Raw genomic sequence first — 15,106 nt, 5'->3', positions numbered from 1 at the left:
GTGGTGATACTTCATACTTCATTGGATAGCCGAATATTTCTCAGTGTGGCCATCCAGGCCCAAGATACACATTTGGGAGTCATCAGTGCATAGATATAGCACTCAAAATCATGAGCTCAAATGATGTTAGGAGTATAGCCAAGAAGAGGAGTGGTGTGAGCACTGACTGACCCCTGGGATACCCTACTGTTGGTAGTAAATGAGCATAGAAAGAACAAATAAAAGAGACTGAGCAGCTGTGCCCAGGAAAGTAGGAGGAGAACCAAATGTCTTGGAGTCAAGTATAAAAATGTTTTAAGAATTGAAGTGTGCAGTTATGTTGAATGTAGCTGATAGTTTGGATACTATAAGGTCTGAAACTTAGCCATTGGCTGTAGGAAGGTAGAGGTCTTGGGAGACCTTAACCTGTTTTGGTGAAGGGATGGTGGGAAGGTGACATGGTTTGGATCTGTGTCCCCACCCAAATCTAATATTGAATTGTAATCCCCAATGTTGGAGGTGGGGCCTGGTGGGAAGTGATTGGATCTTGGGGGTGGATCCTTCATGAATGGTCTAGCAACATCCCTTTGGTGCTGTTCTCAAGATAGAGTTCTCATGAGGTTTGGTGGTTTAAAAGTGTATAGCACCTTTAGAGTAGAATGATTTATATTCCTTTGGGTATACACCTAGCAATGAGATTGCTGGGTCAAATGGCATTTCTGGTTCTAGATTCTTGAGGAATTGTCACACTGTCTTCCACAATGGTTGAACTAATTTACATTCCCACCAACAGTGTAAAACCGTCCCTATTTCTCCACAGCCTTGCCAGCATCTGTTGTTTCTTGACTTTTTGTATTTTGTTTTGTTTTGTTTTGAGACGGAGTCTCATTCTGTCACCCAGGCTGGAGTGCAGTGGTGCGATCTCAGCTCACTGCAACCTCTGCCTCTCAGGTTCAAGCAATTCTCCAGCCTCAGCCTCCCGAGTAGCTAGGATTATAGGTGCCTGCCACCACGCTAATTTTTTTATTTTTAGTAGAGGCACGGTTTCACCATGCTGGCCAGGCTGGTCTCCAACTCCTGACTTCAGGTGATCTGCCCGCCTTGGCCTCCCAAAGTGCTGGGATTACAGGTGTGAGCCACCATGCCCGGCCCTTGACTTTTTAATAATTGTCATTCTGACTGGCGTGAGATGGTATCTCATTGTGGTTTTGATTTGCATTTCTCTAATGATCAGTGATGCTGAGGTTTTTTTTCATATGTTTGTTGGCCACATAAATGTCTTCTTTTGAGAAGTGTCTGTTTATATACTTTGCCTACTTTTTGATGGGGTTGTTTGTTTTTTTCTTGTAAATTTGTTTAAGTTCTTTGTAAATTCCAGATATTATACCTTTGTCAGATGGGTAGATTGCAAACATTTTCTTCCATTCTGTAGGTTGCTTGTTCACTCTGGTGATAGTTTCTTTTTGCTGTGCAGAAGCTCTTTAGTTTAATTAGATCCCGTTTGTCAGTTTTAGCTTTTGTTGCAATTGCTTTTGGCATTTTCGTCGTGAAATCTTTGCCCATGCCTATGTACTGAATGGTACTGCCTAGGTTTCCTTCTAAGGTTTTTATGGTTTTGGGTTTTACATTTAAGTCTTTAATCCATCTTGAGTTAATTTTTGTATAAGGTGTAAGGAATGGGTCCAATTTCAGTTTTCTACATATGGCTAGCCAGTTTTTCCATTACTGGGTATATACCCAAAGGAATATAAATCATTCTACTATAAAGATACATGCACACATATGTTTATTGCAGCACTATTTACAATAGCAAAGACATGGAACCAATCCAAATGCCCATCAACGATAGACTGGATAAAGAAAATGTGGTACATATACACCATGGAATACTATGCAGCCATAAAAAGGAATGAGATCATGTCCTTTGCAGGTACATGGATGAAGCTGGAAGGCATCATCCTCAGCAAACTAACACAGGAACAGAAAACCAAATGCCGCCTGTTCTCACTTATAAGTGGGAGGTGAACAATGAAAACTCATGGACGCAGAGAGGGGAAAAACACACACCAGGGCCTACTGGGGGTGGGGAGGGGAGGGAGAGCATCAGGACAAAAAGCTAATGCATGCGGGGCATAAAACCTAGATGATGAGTTGATAGGTGCAACAAACCACCATGGCACGCATATACCTATGTAATAAACCTGCATGTTCTGCAGATGTATCCTGGAACTTAAAGTAAAATAAAAAAAAAAAAGTATATAGCACCTCCTCCCTCCTCTTCTTTCTGCTCTGGCCGTGTAAGTTGTGCCTGCTTCTCCTTCGCCTTCTGCCATTATTGTAAGTATCTTGAGGCCTCCACAGAAGCTGAGCAGATGCCAGCATCATGCTTCTTGTACAGCCTGCAGATTGACTGTGAGTCAATTAAATCTCTTTTCTTTATAAATTATCCAGTCTCATGTATTTATTTATAGCAATGCAAGAACGGACTAATACAGAAGGGGATACTCTTTATTGGAGTGAGTTCAAGAGAATGTGGGGTAGGGGAATTAGAGTGAATATAGCAACTCTCTGAAAGGAAATTCACTGTTGACAGGAACAGAGAAATAGGAGTGTAACTGGAAGGGGACATGAGGTGAAGCTTTTAGTGTTTTGTTTTGTTTTGTTTTGTTTTGTTTTTTTTTTGAGACAGGGACTTTCTTTGTTGCCTAGGCTGGAGTGCAGTGGCACAAACATGGCTCACTGCAGTCTTGGGCTCCTGCACCCAAGCAATCCTCCCACCTCAGCCCTGCAAGTAGCTGGGACTACAAGCATGTACCAACATGCCCGGCTAATTTTTTTTTTTTTGTAGAGATGGGGTCTCCCTGTGTTGGCCAGGCTGGTCTCAAATTCCTGGGCTTACGTGATCTGCCCACCTCAGCCTCCCAAATTGCTGGGATTACAGGCATAAGCCAACACACCCAGCCAGTTTTTGTTTTTTAAGGTAAGTAATTGTAATGATTATATGCTAAGAATGATTCAGTAGAGAGACAAATATTTATGAGACAGGAGACAGAGAAGCCAGTTGTAGAATTGCTATGTTTCAGGAGGCAAGAAGGATCCTAGCACATGAGTGGGTTGGCCTTAGCTAGGAGTACAGTATATTCACAGGAGAAAAGGTAGAGTATGTGGGCACTTTGGAAGTCATTAGCACTAATGTCAAAGCTGTTCAACTCTCTGACTTGTGGGCATATGGTAGGACTCTTCTTCCTGGCTTCTGATGGCTTGCTGGGATCATGTAACTGGTTGTGGCTGGTGAATTGTGTTAAATGACACGTATTTCTGTGCTATAGCATTTAATTGTCAGTGTAAACATCTTCAAAAGTTATTTTCCTTTATGCCATGGTGACTGGTGATGTTCCAGAATCTGGCTGATTATCAATCAACCTGCATCCCTGAGTAAGGGCAGTGTAGAGCAGATCCCTCAGCTGACCATGATGAACATTTACTGTCTTTTGTCGTTAAGCTCCTGAGGGTTGTAGTGGTTGTTGTTAGAGCATAAGCTGGCCTGTCTTGAGTGATAAAGGCACAGATGTAGCTAGGAGGACAGATGCGATGGGTGGGCGGGGGCGGGGGGGGGCACTTGTGGAAAGTCTGTTCTGACTGTGCCTGGTATTTCAGTGAAACAGGAAGATAAGCCGAGTGTGAGGATAACGAGGAGGCATCAGAGATATGAGGAGAGCCATGTGTATGAAATAGTCATTGGGGAGAATCTGAGAGTAATTGAGCCAGTAAAATGTATCATGATCATCAGAAAGCACTCAGGGCCCATTTGAGTTTGGTGGCCATGAATATAAAGTGAGTAGTTGGTGTGGGGGTATGTTTTTCTCCTATCACTATGGACCGAGTGGGTGCAGACGTGGTGTTGACAAAGAACTGGATTTAAGCAGGGATTTGGTCTTGCCAGGCAAGGATGACAAAGTGAGGTAGTGGAAAGGGAGTTGAAGATACATACAAGGGAGTGATTATTTAGCATATTCTTATTGGACTTTAATCAGCCTCAATCATATTCTTAGGGTAGTTAGCATTGGGGACTGAGAGATATAGTAAAAGTCAAACTGTGTCATGTAGTGGCTGGTTTAAAGTTTTCCAAGCACTTTTGCATGTGTAAGAATATGAGAAAGGGCAGGTGGTAAGTGGGGTTGGCCACAAAACAGTGCAACTCTTCATTTTTTCGGGATAAGGGGAAGGCCTCTTCTACACCCATGTTTATCCTCTGTCCCTTGTGAAGTCCCTGGCATGGTGGCCTCTTCGGTTTCTTTTTTCCCCTCTTTTCTTTTTTTCTCCCGTCTTCTCTTTAAAATATCTCTGCTGGCCATGTGTGGTTTAAGCTTGACCATAGTATTCTTTGTCCTTCATTTTTCTTTGTTCCTTTTTCCTTTGTCTAATTGTGGGGTTTGGCCGTCTCTTGGGCAGGTGGGGAGGGAAGAGATGGTGTGTGGGGTGGGTTACCACAATTCTGAATTAGGTCTCTGGGTTGGACCCATAAAGCCCGTAGTCACCCACCATTATATAAGTGTAAGTTATCCCCGAGATAATCTGCGAATTCTCTAAGTTGTAGTGAGGAAAGTGAAGCCTGAAGTTATGTCATTTACACAATAATGGATAATTGGTATTACCTTCACTTTCCTTGCCTCCCCTCCCTGTTTTTTTCCCTCCTGTAGGGAATGTTGGCTATTAATAGTTGGGATTGTCCCTAATTCTTGTAGTCAGTTTTATGTGCACAGTGTGCCTCTTCCTGGCCACTTAGATCTAAATAATGTCCCAAAGGACACCCAATCAAAGCTTCCCTTCTCTCTTTGCAGCTTCAAGATACAGATGCTGATTCTAATTCTGGAACTGTTTATAGCAGTGTCTTGTATTAGTGTCGGGTCACTAGAAAGCTAGAGGGGCCAGGTCATTCTAAGAGTTGTTAAATGTGTTTCTTGTGTTCCTTTATTTAGACAGGGACGGGAGAGGGCTGGTTTGAGGAGGCCCTGCTGTCTGCTTTGGTGTTGAGTTTGAACCTCTGGTCTGAGGATCCCAGGTACTCTGTTCACATCACCATGTGGCACACCCAGCCTGATTTGAGAGGGGGAAGAAGTTTACGGGGTTGGGTGGGGGGTGTACATGACTGCACAGTACCAGAAAGAAGCAGTTCATTCATGTCAGCCCTGCCACTTGTGCATCAGGGCTGTTGTCAGGAGCCTGGTGCTGCTCAGGGGGTGGGAACAGGCTTTGGCCATCGGGAGCAGTTGTCTCTGGCCCCTAGGAGTCCTCACCCAGGGCTTCTGTCTTTCTTGATGGAAGATTTTTGATGCTTTTTTTTTTTTTTGAGACCAGGGTTTTGCCTCGTTCCCCAGGCTGTAGTGCAGTGGTACCATCATATGTCTCACTGTAGCCTCGATCTCCTGGGCTCAAGTGATCCTCCCTTCTTGGCCTTCTGAGTAGCTAGGACCCCAGGCGCATGCCACCATGCCTGACTAAATTTTTTAAAAAGTTTTTTGTAGAGACGGGGAGTCTCAGTTTGTTGCCCTGGCTGGTCTTGAACTCCTAGTCTCAAGCGATCTTCCTGCCTTGGCCTCCCAAAGTGTTGGGATTACAGGCGTGAGCCACCATGCCCGGCCTGATACTTTTTGTTAAAACAGGAACACACTCCCGAGAGGACAAGAGCTTCAACTTCCCTGAACAAGTACCATGTAGAGTCATTTAGTAGCAGCTCCTATGACTAGATTTGGAGAAGATGGGTGATGAAGTATGAGCAAGGAGGGGGCCTTTGGATGAGGAGGGATGAGAAGGGCAGGGCCAGGCCTTGCACACTTCATAGTTAAGGCCTCTCTTTTGCTCAACAGCATGTGAATTTGGGAGACTTTGCTGATTATAGCTTGGGACACAGATTATTGCTTGAACCATGACGTTGCAGTTCAGTTCTGTTCTCTCTCCTTTATTTCTCAGACCCCTGCCAGAATGTGCCTGGGTATGTACCTACCGCAGCCTTTCTTAGGCCAGTATGTGCACTGAAGGCTTGCCCTGGACAAAGCCTCACAGGGTTGCTTCTCCTTGGTTTTTCATCTCCTGTACCTCTAAGATGGTACTCTGTGTCAGTGATAGTGGCATTAGGTACAAATTAATTGAGACGGGGGCAGAAGTAAGAAAAATCATGGCATGCCTTATGGCGTTCAGAAACTAACCTTTACTCTGTGTGTGTGTGTGTGTGTGTGTGTGTGTGTGTGTGTGTGTGTTTTCAATAGATTACAGTTTGTGGAGGAGTATGCAAATCATACAGAAACTATGCAAATATATTTCCTATCTTGTTCATGTTTTCACATACCTCACTAATGCCTCTGGTGAAATGCAAAAGGAGAATGTTCTGAATCATAGATCCCAAAAGCTAAGGAGTCATGAGCTATTGGGAAATTCAGTTATATAGTACTTGTTTTTTAATCTCCATAGCCAAGTTACAGAAATGTTCATCAGATTTCTGTTATAGGGGAAATAGTCTTCAGCATTCCAATTCTTTCCCTTACATTATAATTCTTACAGTGGAAAGTTGAAATCACGAGCTTTAGAACTGTGCAGTTTCCTTTGAGTTTAGCTTTTCTGAACGGAAGGCTGTGTGAATAAGTTTGCCTTGCCACTTTGCTCTTTCAACTTAAGAGTTATTGTTTCTACAAATGTTGTCTCCTTAGAGAAACGTCTACGTTTCAGAGGAACGGATGATGGATTAGTGTTTACAGTAATGAGAGAGTAAAGAGAGGTTTGGTAGAGGGGGAACCGGTGCGGGAACCATTCAAAAAGTAGCCGTAGCTAGTAATGCTTGTATACTCCCTCTACGCATGAATGATTCATTTTGCCGCTTTGTTATAATAGCCACAGTGTTCAGTCTCTAAGGCTGTCTTGTGATATATCCTTCTTTTGCTAAAAGGCTACATATCAGCAGCCTCGTTTGATTTAGAAGCCGATTCAGCATACCACACATACCATTTGAGAAGAATGCCAGGACCCTTCCTGCTATGAAAATGTCATGCATGCTTAAAATGACAAGGTTTGGCTCAAGCAATGGTTTCAAGTGCTTCTTAATTATCCTTTTTGAATCTTCAAAGCAATTTAATTTTAGGGTTTTCATTTTCAGTTAAGATATAAGTCACCCAAATATTTGCTTTATTTTTAAATATCAAAATGCTGACTTGGCGATTTAGAGTATCCAAAATGTAGCATGAAGGTGGTACCTTTTAAACTGTGGCAAAAAACATATCATAAAATTTCCCACCTTAAGCATTTTTAAGTGTACAGTATAGTAGTGTTAATATATTCACAGTGTTGCGCAACAGATCTCTGGAACTTTTTCATCTTGCAAAACCGAAAGTATATTGAACAACTCCCCATTTTCCTCTCCCCTGCAGCCCCTGACAACCACCATTGTACTTTCTGTTAAGAGTTTGAATACTTTAGATACCCCATATAAAGGGAATCATGCAGCAGTTGTCTTTCTGTGTCTGGCTTATTTCATGTAACTTTATGTCCAACAGGTTCATCCATGTTATAGCAGATGACAAGATTTCCTTATTTTTAAGGCCGAATAGTATTCCATTATGTACATATACCACATTTTGTTTACCCATTCATCTGTGAAGGCAGTTTGTCTTTTTGTAAAGAGTGGTCTCACGAAAGCTTTTCTTGGGAGGTAAAACAACCAAACCACAGAGAACATAGAGAAATTAAATCTGAGACATGTACGCTAAGAAATGGAATTTTTGTTTGTGATATTTAATATCAGACTTTCATACTTGCAAAACGTGGAATTTCCTCCACTGAAATTCTAGTACAAGCAATTTAGGTTTGCACTCCTTCAAAATCCAAAACCCTCCTCCTCATATACCCCATCTGGCTCTCTCTTAGTATTACAGTCTCTGAGACTGTCCCTTAGGGGTACAGACTAAGGCACGTGCTCAAGTGTTCACTGGAGAGCTTGATAAAGTTGGCATTTTCTCCTAAAGTTGTCTGTGCTTCCATAGAATGTCTAGAGGGAAGAGATAAGGGGAAAAGGGGGTGGGGCGAGAAAGGAGCTGTCGGAGCCGTGAAAGGATGGATGACCTATGAGATCATTAAGGTTAGTTAATGGGTTTTCCCATTGGACTTTGTGGGTTTTTCTCACAGATCAGCTTCTATATGGATTCCAGCTCCACTCAGAGTTGAAGCAGCAGTTCTGGCTAAAGCAAAACCACACCAGCAATACGCTCTGTGGTCTGGCTTTAGTCTAAGAAGTGCTGCCAGAGAACCCGAAGACAAAGATTTGACTTGAAAGAACACGTGGTTGGGGTAGAATCTGATAGGGAGAATCTGAAATGCGTAGTGTTACTTTCACTTTTTCTCAACTTTGTTTTTTCCTGAGAGCAAAATGATGAGACAGCTGGAGAGGCCAGATTTTGAGAGTGGCTGGGGTCCTTGTCCTCAAAGATGCTGCAGTGTTAGTGATTGCCTGTCTTTGGCAGGTACAAGCTGTGAGAATGAGCCTTTTTCTCCTCCCCGTCCCTTAGGATTCCTGGATAAGGGTGAGAAGCAACCCAGGGTGGGAGCTTCTCTTTAACTTTTCCTGTAGTTGGCTAGGGCCCGTCTGTGAGCTGGGATGTGGTGTAGAGTGTGTGGTCTCCACTACAGCACTAAAAATGTCTCTATCTTGCCCGGAGTTAAGGGGAGTCAGGGAATGCTTTGCCTTTCTCTGCTTCTTTGATGTCCTCCGGAAAGCAAGACAGTGTGCAGCTGACTGGCTGGAGAGGAGAAAAGCTTCAGAAAAAGATTTTTTTTTCTTTTTTCCCCCAGAAAAGCTTCAGAAAAAGCTGACAGACAAGTCTGAAGTGCCTGGGGAAGTACTTGCGTTCTGTAGAATGTGGCTTCCTTGTGGCCCCAGGCCCCAGACCCTCGGACGCACTTGAGTTGAGTATGGGATGCAGAGGGAGGACCAGGTGCACCATTTTACAGCAGTGACAGCTGGTCCTGTCCTTTACACTACAGAATGCTGGGGAGGAGTTGCACGCTTAAGCCCTGCCAACTGTCAGGGCAGTCAGCTGTTTCTCAGGTGTGTGTCAGGTGAGGGCCTTGGCAAATCTTTTCCCCAAAGTGAGGGATCCCTTTGGAAGGCAGGTGGAAGCCAAGGACTCCTTGCTTTGTTGAGGCCAATTTGGAGACATGGAGAAATACTTTAAAGAGACTTTTGACAATCCCTATTTTTGTGTGTATACGACTTCAAAAAATAAGTTTTTCCTCCTATTTTTTATGAACATCTTCAAGTCTACAGCAAAGTTGAAAGATTTTACAGTGAACACATATGCCTACCACCTAAAAAATAAAGTTTAAAAAAATTAATACTTTATAACAAATAATGATACATAATTAATTTTTCTCATTCAAAATACTTATGGTATGGAGATATATATAATTTTTTTTTAATAGAGATGGAGTCTTGTTATGTTGCCCAGGCTGGTCTTGAGCTCCTGGCCTCAAGCGATCCTCCCTCCTCAGCCTCCCAAAGTACTGGTATTTTTTTTTTTTTTTTTTTTTTTTGTGGCAGAGTCTCACTCTGTCACCCAGGCTGGAGTACGGTGCGTGATCTTGGCTCACTGCAGCATCTGCCTCCCGGGTTCAAGCGATTCTCCTGCCTCAGCCTCCCGAGTAGCTGGGATTACAGGCACCTGCCACCATGCCCAGCTAATTTTTATAGTTTTGGTAGAGACGGAGTTTCACCATGTTGGCCGGGCTGGTCTTGAACTCCTGATTCAAGTGATCTGCCTGCCTCGGCCTCCCAAATACATTATATGAGAAGTGCAGTTGGGAAGGTAATTGGGAATGATAGCATACTATGAGCGTATTGGAAAAATCACGTTTACTCTAATATGAAGTTTGTTCCCTTATCGTTCCTGGCTCTTCTCTTGGTTCTCTCACCTCCTCCCTCCTCACACACACACAAGAGAGAGAAAGTATAGCAATTAATAGGTGAAGATTTTTTCCATATTCCAATGTGAATGGCTAGTTAAAAAACTTTTGCATGTTGACAACCACTTTCTTCCATCTTTCCTTTTCATAAGAAATTCAAGGAGAAAGTCTACACCCAATGTTGCATAGCAAGCAAAACCCCTCTCTTAGTTCAATGCAGCCACTCTGTAAAGGCCAAATAGACAATTCCATGGCAATTCATGGTGGCATTTGTCCATGTGGAAGAAAAGGTCCCTATGAAGTGGCAGATTACCTTAGTATTGTGAGGGACACATTTGTCATGCTCATTAGGAGGTGCAGATGGTGATTACTGGTTCTCTGGGGGAATTCTCCTTTGTGCTATTTATTTTAGTTATACACCACTGCTATTCCAGGTTGCTTGAATGAAACCCACACATGGGTAGGACAAGAATTTGCCCTGGGTCTCGGATGTCCTACCTTTAAAAAATGAAGGAGGTTTGGCTTTGCAGACATTTAGTATGTTCATCCAAATGCCAGGTGTTGTGGGTAAAACAGAGAAACTTCAGGGTAGAATCTCTGGAAGGAGCAAACTGTTGAGTAGGGAAGGGAAGATGTGGGTACATGGTGGGTTAGGAAGGATGAGATGTCAGTGCACTGTGAGTCCAGAGAGCAGGAAGTGGCTGGTAGTCACGGTGGTTAGGGAAGTTTTCCATTTCCATTTCCATTTCCAGTTCTGTTTCTCGAGGAGCCTTTGGTTTCAGGTGGTTGGGGATGGATGGACAGAGGGGCAGGGGAACTTTCAAGGCCCCTGTGAATTGCCCAGAGCAAGGAGGCTTTTTCTTTCAATCCAGCAAGCATGTTATAGTGATGGCGGATTTGTGAAAGTCTTGCCAGATAGAGAAGATATGTTGGGGCTGTTTGTGTAGGACCTCAATTGACAGATAAGTTTGAAGGCCAACACAGGCCATAGTTTCCAGGATCATTTTTCATTTCTTATTTGTGATTGACAGAAACCATAGACTAGGGTCTTTCAAAAGAAAGAATGGTGCCCATTTGCCTATTTATTGTTTGGATAAAGAAATGAATTTGACTGTGTGACCTGTTACTAAATAAGTTTAAGAGAAATGATGGCCAAGCAAAATATGCGGAATAAATTTTTAATCTGAAGGTAACTCCCTAAATCCCAGGTATTACCTTCTCACGAGAGAAGAAAGTGGCTGGAAAGAGTTGTGAAGAGTTGCATTCCTTTTTTTAATGGAGATATGGTCACTGTTTAGACCACAAGCAAACAGAAGAAGCCCAGCAGCATTTCTTGGGTATAGTTACTCATCTTCTCAAATGTTGCAAAATACCGAAGGGAAGGGAAAACCAGAAGTTGGTTGGGGTGGGTGGGCTTGGTGGTTTAAAAAATATGGTGACTAACTGACTTGTGCTGACTAATATTGGTGAACTCATAATGAGTAACAATAGTGAATTTAGGAGGAATATAAGTAGAAGGAGAGCTATTTAAAGGTTGCTTTAATACAAAAGGCAGCTGAAGTGGTCACAATAAGGATTCCCTTAGGGAAATTCGGAAGTAACTCCGTTTACCCTTACAAAGTTCTTGTTTCCTTTAGAATTCTTACAAGTATGGCTTCTTTTCCACTGGCCTCCTGGGGGGAGTTCTTGGCAGATGAGCTTGCTCGTTGTTTTGCATTGAAGAAATACCATAGATGTCCAGTAAGCAAGAGCAACCAGTTGATTAAAACAAGGTTGGCAGTAATGTCTGTGAACTGAAACCATAAAAGGTTTGTTTGACTTTTTCTTCTTAGGGGTTTTTTTTTTTTTCTTATCATGGTATAAAAAAGTACAAGAACTGACCAACCATCTTTTTCGTAAACATAGATGCTATCTTTTTAAAATGAAAGATCATAACATTATTTATAAATAGAGCAAACATACAACCAATCAAAATGTACAAGGACAGGATAGTCTGTTGTGGAATTTTCTATTATCTGTGTGTTGATCAGAGAATGTTTTGTTTTCATTCTTCTTGAAAATATTTTGTAAATGTTATTTTCCTTGAAACTCCATTTTCCTAACTTCACTTGACCCTGGGCAAGGGGTCCAGAGAAACCATCCTGTAGAGCTTAGTGTTGTATTTAGGAAACATTTTTTGTATTTAGGAAAAATTTTATCTAAGAGTTTTGCTTTCACAATTAGAGCAGATTGCTTATTTTAAAAGGAAATAACTTTTAAAATCCAATTTGGTTATTGTATTCTACTCTTCAGCGTTTTTGTTGGTGTATATAAATGAAAAATGAATTCAGAGGGATTTATATGGACGTTTGGTATAAGAATTGCCTCAAGCCTTTGCAGGACACCTCAATCCAAATTGAGGGTGTCTCCTGTTTTTGTGTCTTTTGGTTTTGGCTAGTGCCACATATTACAAGTATCGTCTCTCTTATGCAGAATCACTATTTCCAATTCATTCTGAAGTATTATAAGCGTTTATTCTGTAAAGTCAGAGATTGAAAGTTTTCCAATCTCATCTAGGTTTAGCACTTTGGAAACTGGTTAATAAACAGCATGACTCTATTTTCATTTTGACATGTAAGCCCCCGAATGAGTTTGTTTTTTCTTTAAAAAAAACTCATATTAGCAAAGTTTGAAATACCTTTCCTAAAATGAAACTTCAGTACTGGATGGAACTTAGAGTCTTGGGTTTATTGGAGCTTTTCAGCAGAGAGCAGTGATGAGCTGAGGAGTATGGACAACAGAAATGTTTTATTAAGGAGGTTATTGAATGGACCAGGAAATGCTATAGATATTAATAAATATGATTGGAGTGCAGAAGCCGAACCTCATTGGAACTGGTGAACTCCTAGCTATTTGGTTTTAATTTAAAAAAGAACTTTGGTTTTCAGCTTTGACATACAAAAGGAAGCTAGAAGTTATTCTTGAATAGCTAACCCTTTGTTTAAGCAGTAAAAATCAGTGGGGTGTCCAGCATCATCAAAGAGTCATGCAAACAAGGTGGAAAGCATTTGTTTCCTCCTTGCTCAGAGTTACTCTTTGAATCTTATGCAGTTTGCAAATGTGTAGGAGGATGGACAGTTTTTATGTTGGTCAATGCTAAAGAGAATGGGTTTCCTCAGACTGTAGAGATAATAGTGGCACAAAGTAATGGCTTACTGAATATGTTGAATGACTGGATTCACAAACCTTGTCTTAAAATTCTGGAATGATAGTGAGGCTTGAAACCTGAAAGAAGGCATTTTAAGAAAATAAAGCAAACAATATTTTTGACTCAAATCACGGAATAAATTATACAAAGACGTGTGCCCACTGGAGCTATAAAATAAGCTCAAGAAATATTTCTATCAGGTGATGGATACTAGAAGTGTGAAGAGGTGTCTCTGGTCACTGAAGAAAACAGAGTGCCATCTAGTGGAAACATTTCACTATAATGTATTACAGTACACACTAATTTAGATTTAGGTTCTTTTTTTTCCCCTCGTTACGGAGACAGGGTCTTGCCACATTGCCCAGGCTGGTCTTGAACTCCTGGGCTCCAGGCGATCTTCCTGACTCGGCCTCCCAAAGTGTTTGGATTACAGGCATGAGCCACCATGCCTGGCCAAGAGTTAGGTTCTTAATAAAACATGTAACAATTGATTTTCTTACTCAAAGAATGATTTTTAAAAACTATTGATTTTGAACTAATTTTAAATTTGCAGAAGAATTGTAAAAATAGGCTGGGTGCGGTGGCTCATGCCTGTAATCTCAGCACTTTGGGAGGCCGAAGCGGGTGGATCACCAGAGGTCGGGATTTCGTGACCAGCCTGACCAACATGGAGAAACCCCGTCTCTACTAAAAATACAAAATTAGCCTCTGGGCATGGTGGCGCATGCCTGTAATCTCAGCTACTCGGGGGGGGGCGCTGAGGCAGGAGAATCGCTTGAACTCGGGAGGCGGAGGTTGTGGTGAGCTGAGATCGCGTCATTGCACTCCAGCCTGGGCAACAAGAGCAAAACTCTGTCTCAAAAAAAAAAAAAAAAAAAAAAATTGTAAATATAGTACAGAGAGTTCCCATATACCCTTTGCCCAGCTTTCTCTGTTAACCGTGGTATACTTATCAAGGCCAGGAAATTAACATTGGTACAGAACTACTAACTAAACTGCAGACTTTATTTGGATTTCACCAGTTTTTCCACTTATGTCCTTTTTCTGTTCCAGGATCCCATCCAGGATCCCACAGTGTTTTTAGTCATCGTGTCTCCTTAGGCTGCAAATCTGAGACAGTTCTTCCTCAGTTCAAAGAGTGTTTACTAAAAATGCTTCTCTAGGGATTGTGGCTGTTATAAAATACATTTTGAAAATACAGGAGACTTAGAAAATTAAAAGGTAGTTATGAAATAAGAATTTTGACCTAGAAATATTTATTCTGCTTGTCCATCCCCTGCCCCATCTTTTAAAACAGCTTTTTGTATTTGCAAAGTACTTTATAAGTTTTACTTATTCTCAAAAGTTATGAGGGGCAGAAACAAATCATTGACAATTTCCTCATGTTACTTAAAAGGAAATTGAGCCATAGGGGAGTTTTATATTTTGCCTTAACTTGTGTAGCTGTCTCTCACACACTGGGAGGTAGGAAAAAGGACGACAAATTACAAAGCAATTGAAAAGTGAACCTTATTTTGCCAACTTTTTTTATTATGACAGTAACTGAGTTTTAAAACAAAAGACAAATTAATGAATCAAATATTTTATTCTTTAAAATTGATATCTTAAATACTAGTCAATGTTTTCAAAATATTTGCCACATTTAAGCATCATATATATTTATCTGGTTTTTAAAGTAACAGTTTGGGCTATCTAAGAGTGCTAAATTTTTACTGCCTTAAATATTGCAAAAATATTTCTATTACAAGTTATTTTTTAAAAATAGAAGTGATTTTTGATCCTTAAACAACTTCTTGGTTTTGTTGCACCCCATGTAACATACTGTGTATGGGAGATGAGAATAATGAGAATAATAAATTGGGGAAACAGTCTGAGGCTTATTTTACTGGTTTATGGCTTCATTCCCCAAAATACTGCCTTTTGCACTGTGTGAGTCTTCTGAATATAATGACCACAGTGAACTCTGGTGTACCTGAAAGAAGTGGAAAGGCCTGG

The 15,106-nt window shown here is 41.4% G+C and overlaps 3 annotated features.

The window, feature by feature from the left end:
- Positions 8,192 to 8,281: a silencer, noted in NCBI's record as "silent region_20789". NCBI's record gives its function as "represses an Ori minimal core promoter by ATAC-STARR-seq in GM12878 lymphoblastoid cells {active_cell/tissue: GM12878}" and the evidence as "EXISTENCE:reporter gene assay evidence [ECO:0000049][PMID:35858748]".
- Positions 10,795 to 11,994: an enhancer, noted in NCBI's record as "MED14-independent group 3 enhancer chrX:45662536-45663735 (GRCh37/hg19 assembly coordinates)". NCBI's record gives its function as "activates an origin of replication core promoter dependent on BRD2, BRD4, P300/CBP and CDK7 cofactors, and independent of MED14, by STARR-seq in HCT116 cells {active_cell/tissue: HCT116}" and the evidence as "EXISTENCE:reporter gene assay evidence [ECO:0000049][PMID:35650434]".
- Positions 12,657 to 13,235: an enhancer, noted in NCBI's record as "NANOG hESC enhancer chrX:45661291-45661869 (GRCh37/hg19 assembly coordinates)". NCBI's record gives its function as "activates a minimal SCP1, AML or CMV promoter by ChIP-STARR-seq in primed H9 embryonic stem cells {active_cell/tissue: H9 hESC(primed)}" and the evidence as "EXISTENCE:reporter gene assay evidence [ECO:0000049][PMID:30033119]".

The sequence above is a fragment of the Homo sapiens genome, chromosome X (genome assembly GCF_000001405.40).
Source record: "Homo sapiens chromosome X, GRCh38.p14 Primary Assembly".
In the NCBI taxonomy this organism is placed as follows: domain Eukaryota; kingdom Metazoa; phylum Chordata; class Mammalia; order Primates; family Hominidae; genus Homo; species Homo sapiens.
The sequence above is the reverse complement of the archived record's forward strand: the minus strand, read 5'-3'. Positions and strand labels throughout refer to the sequence as shown.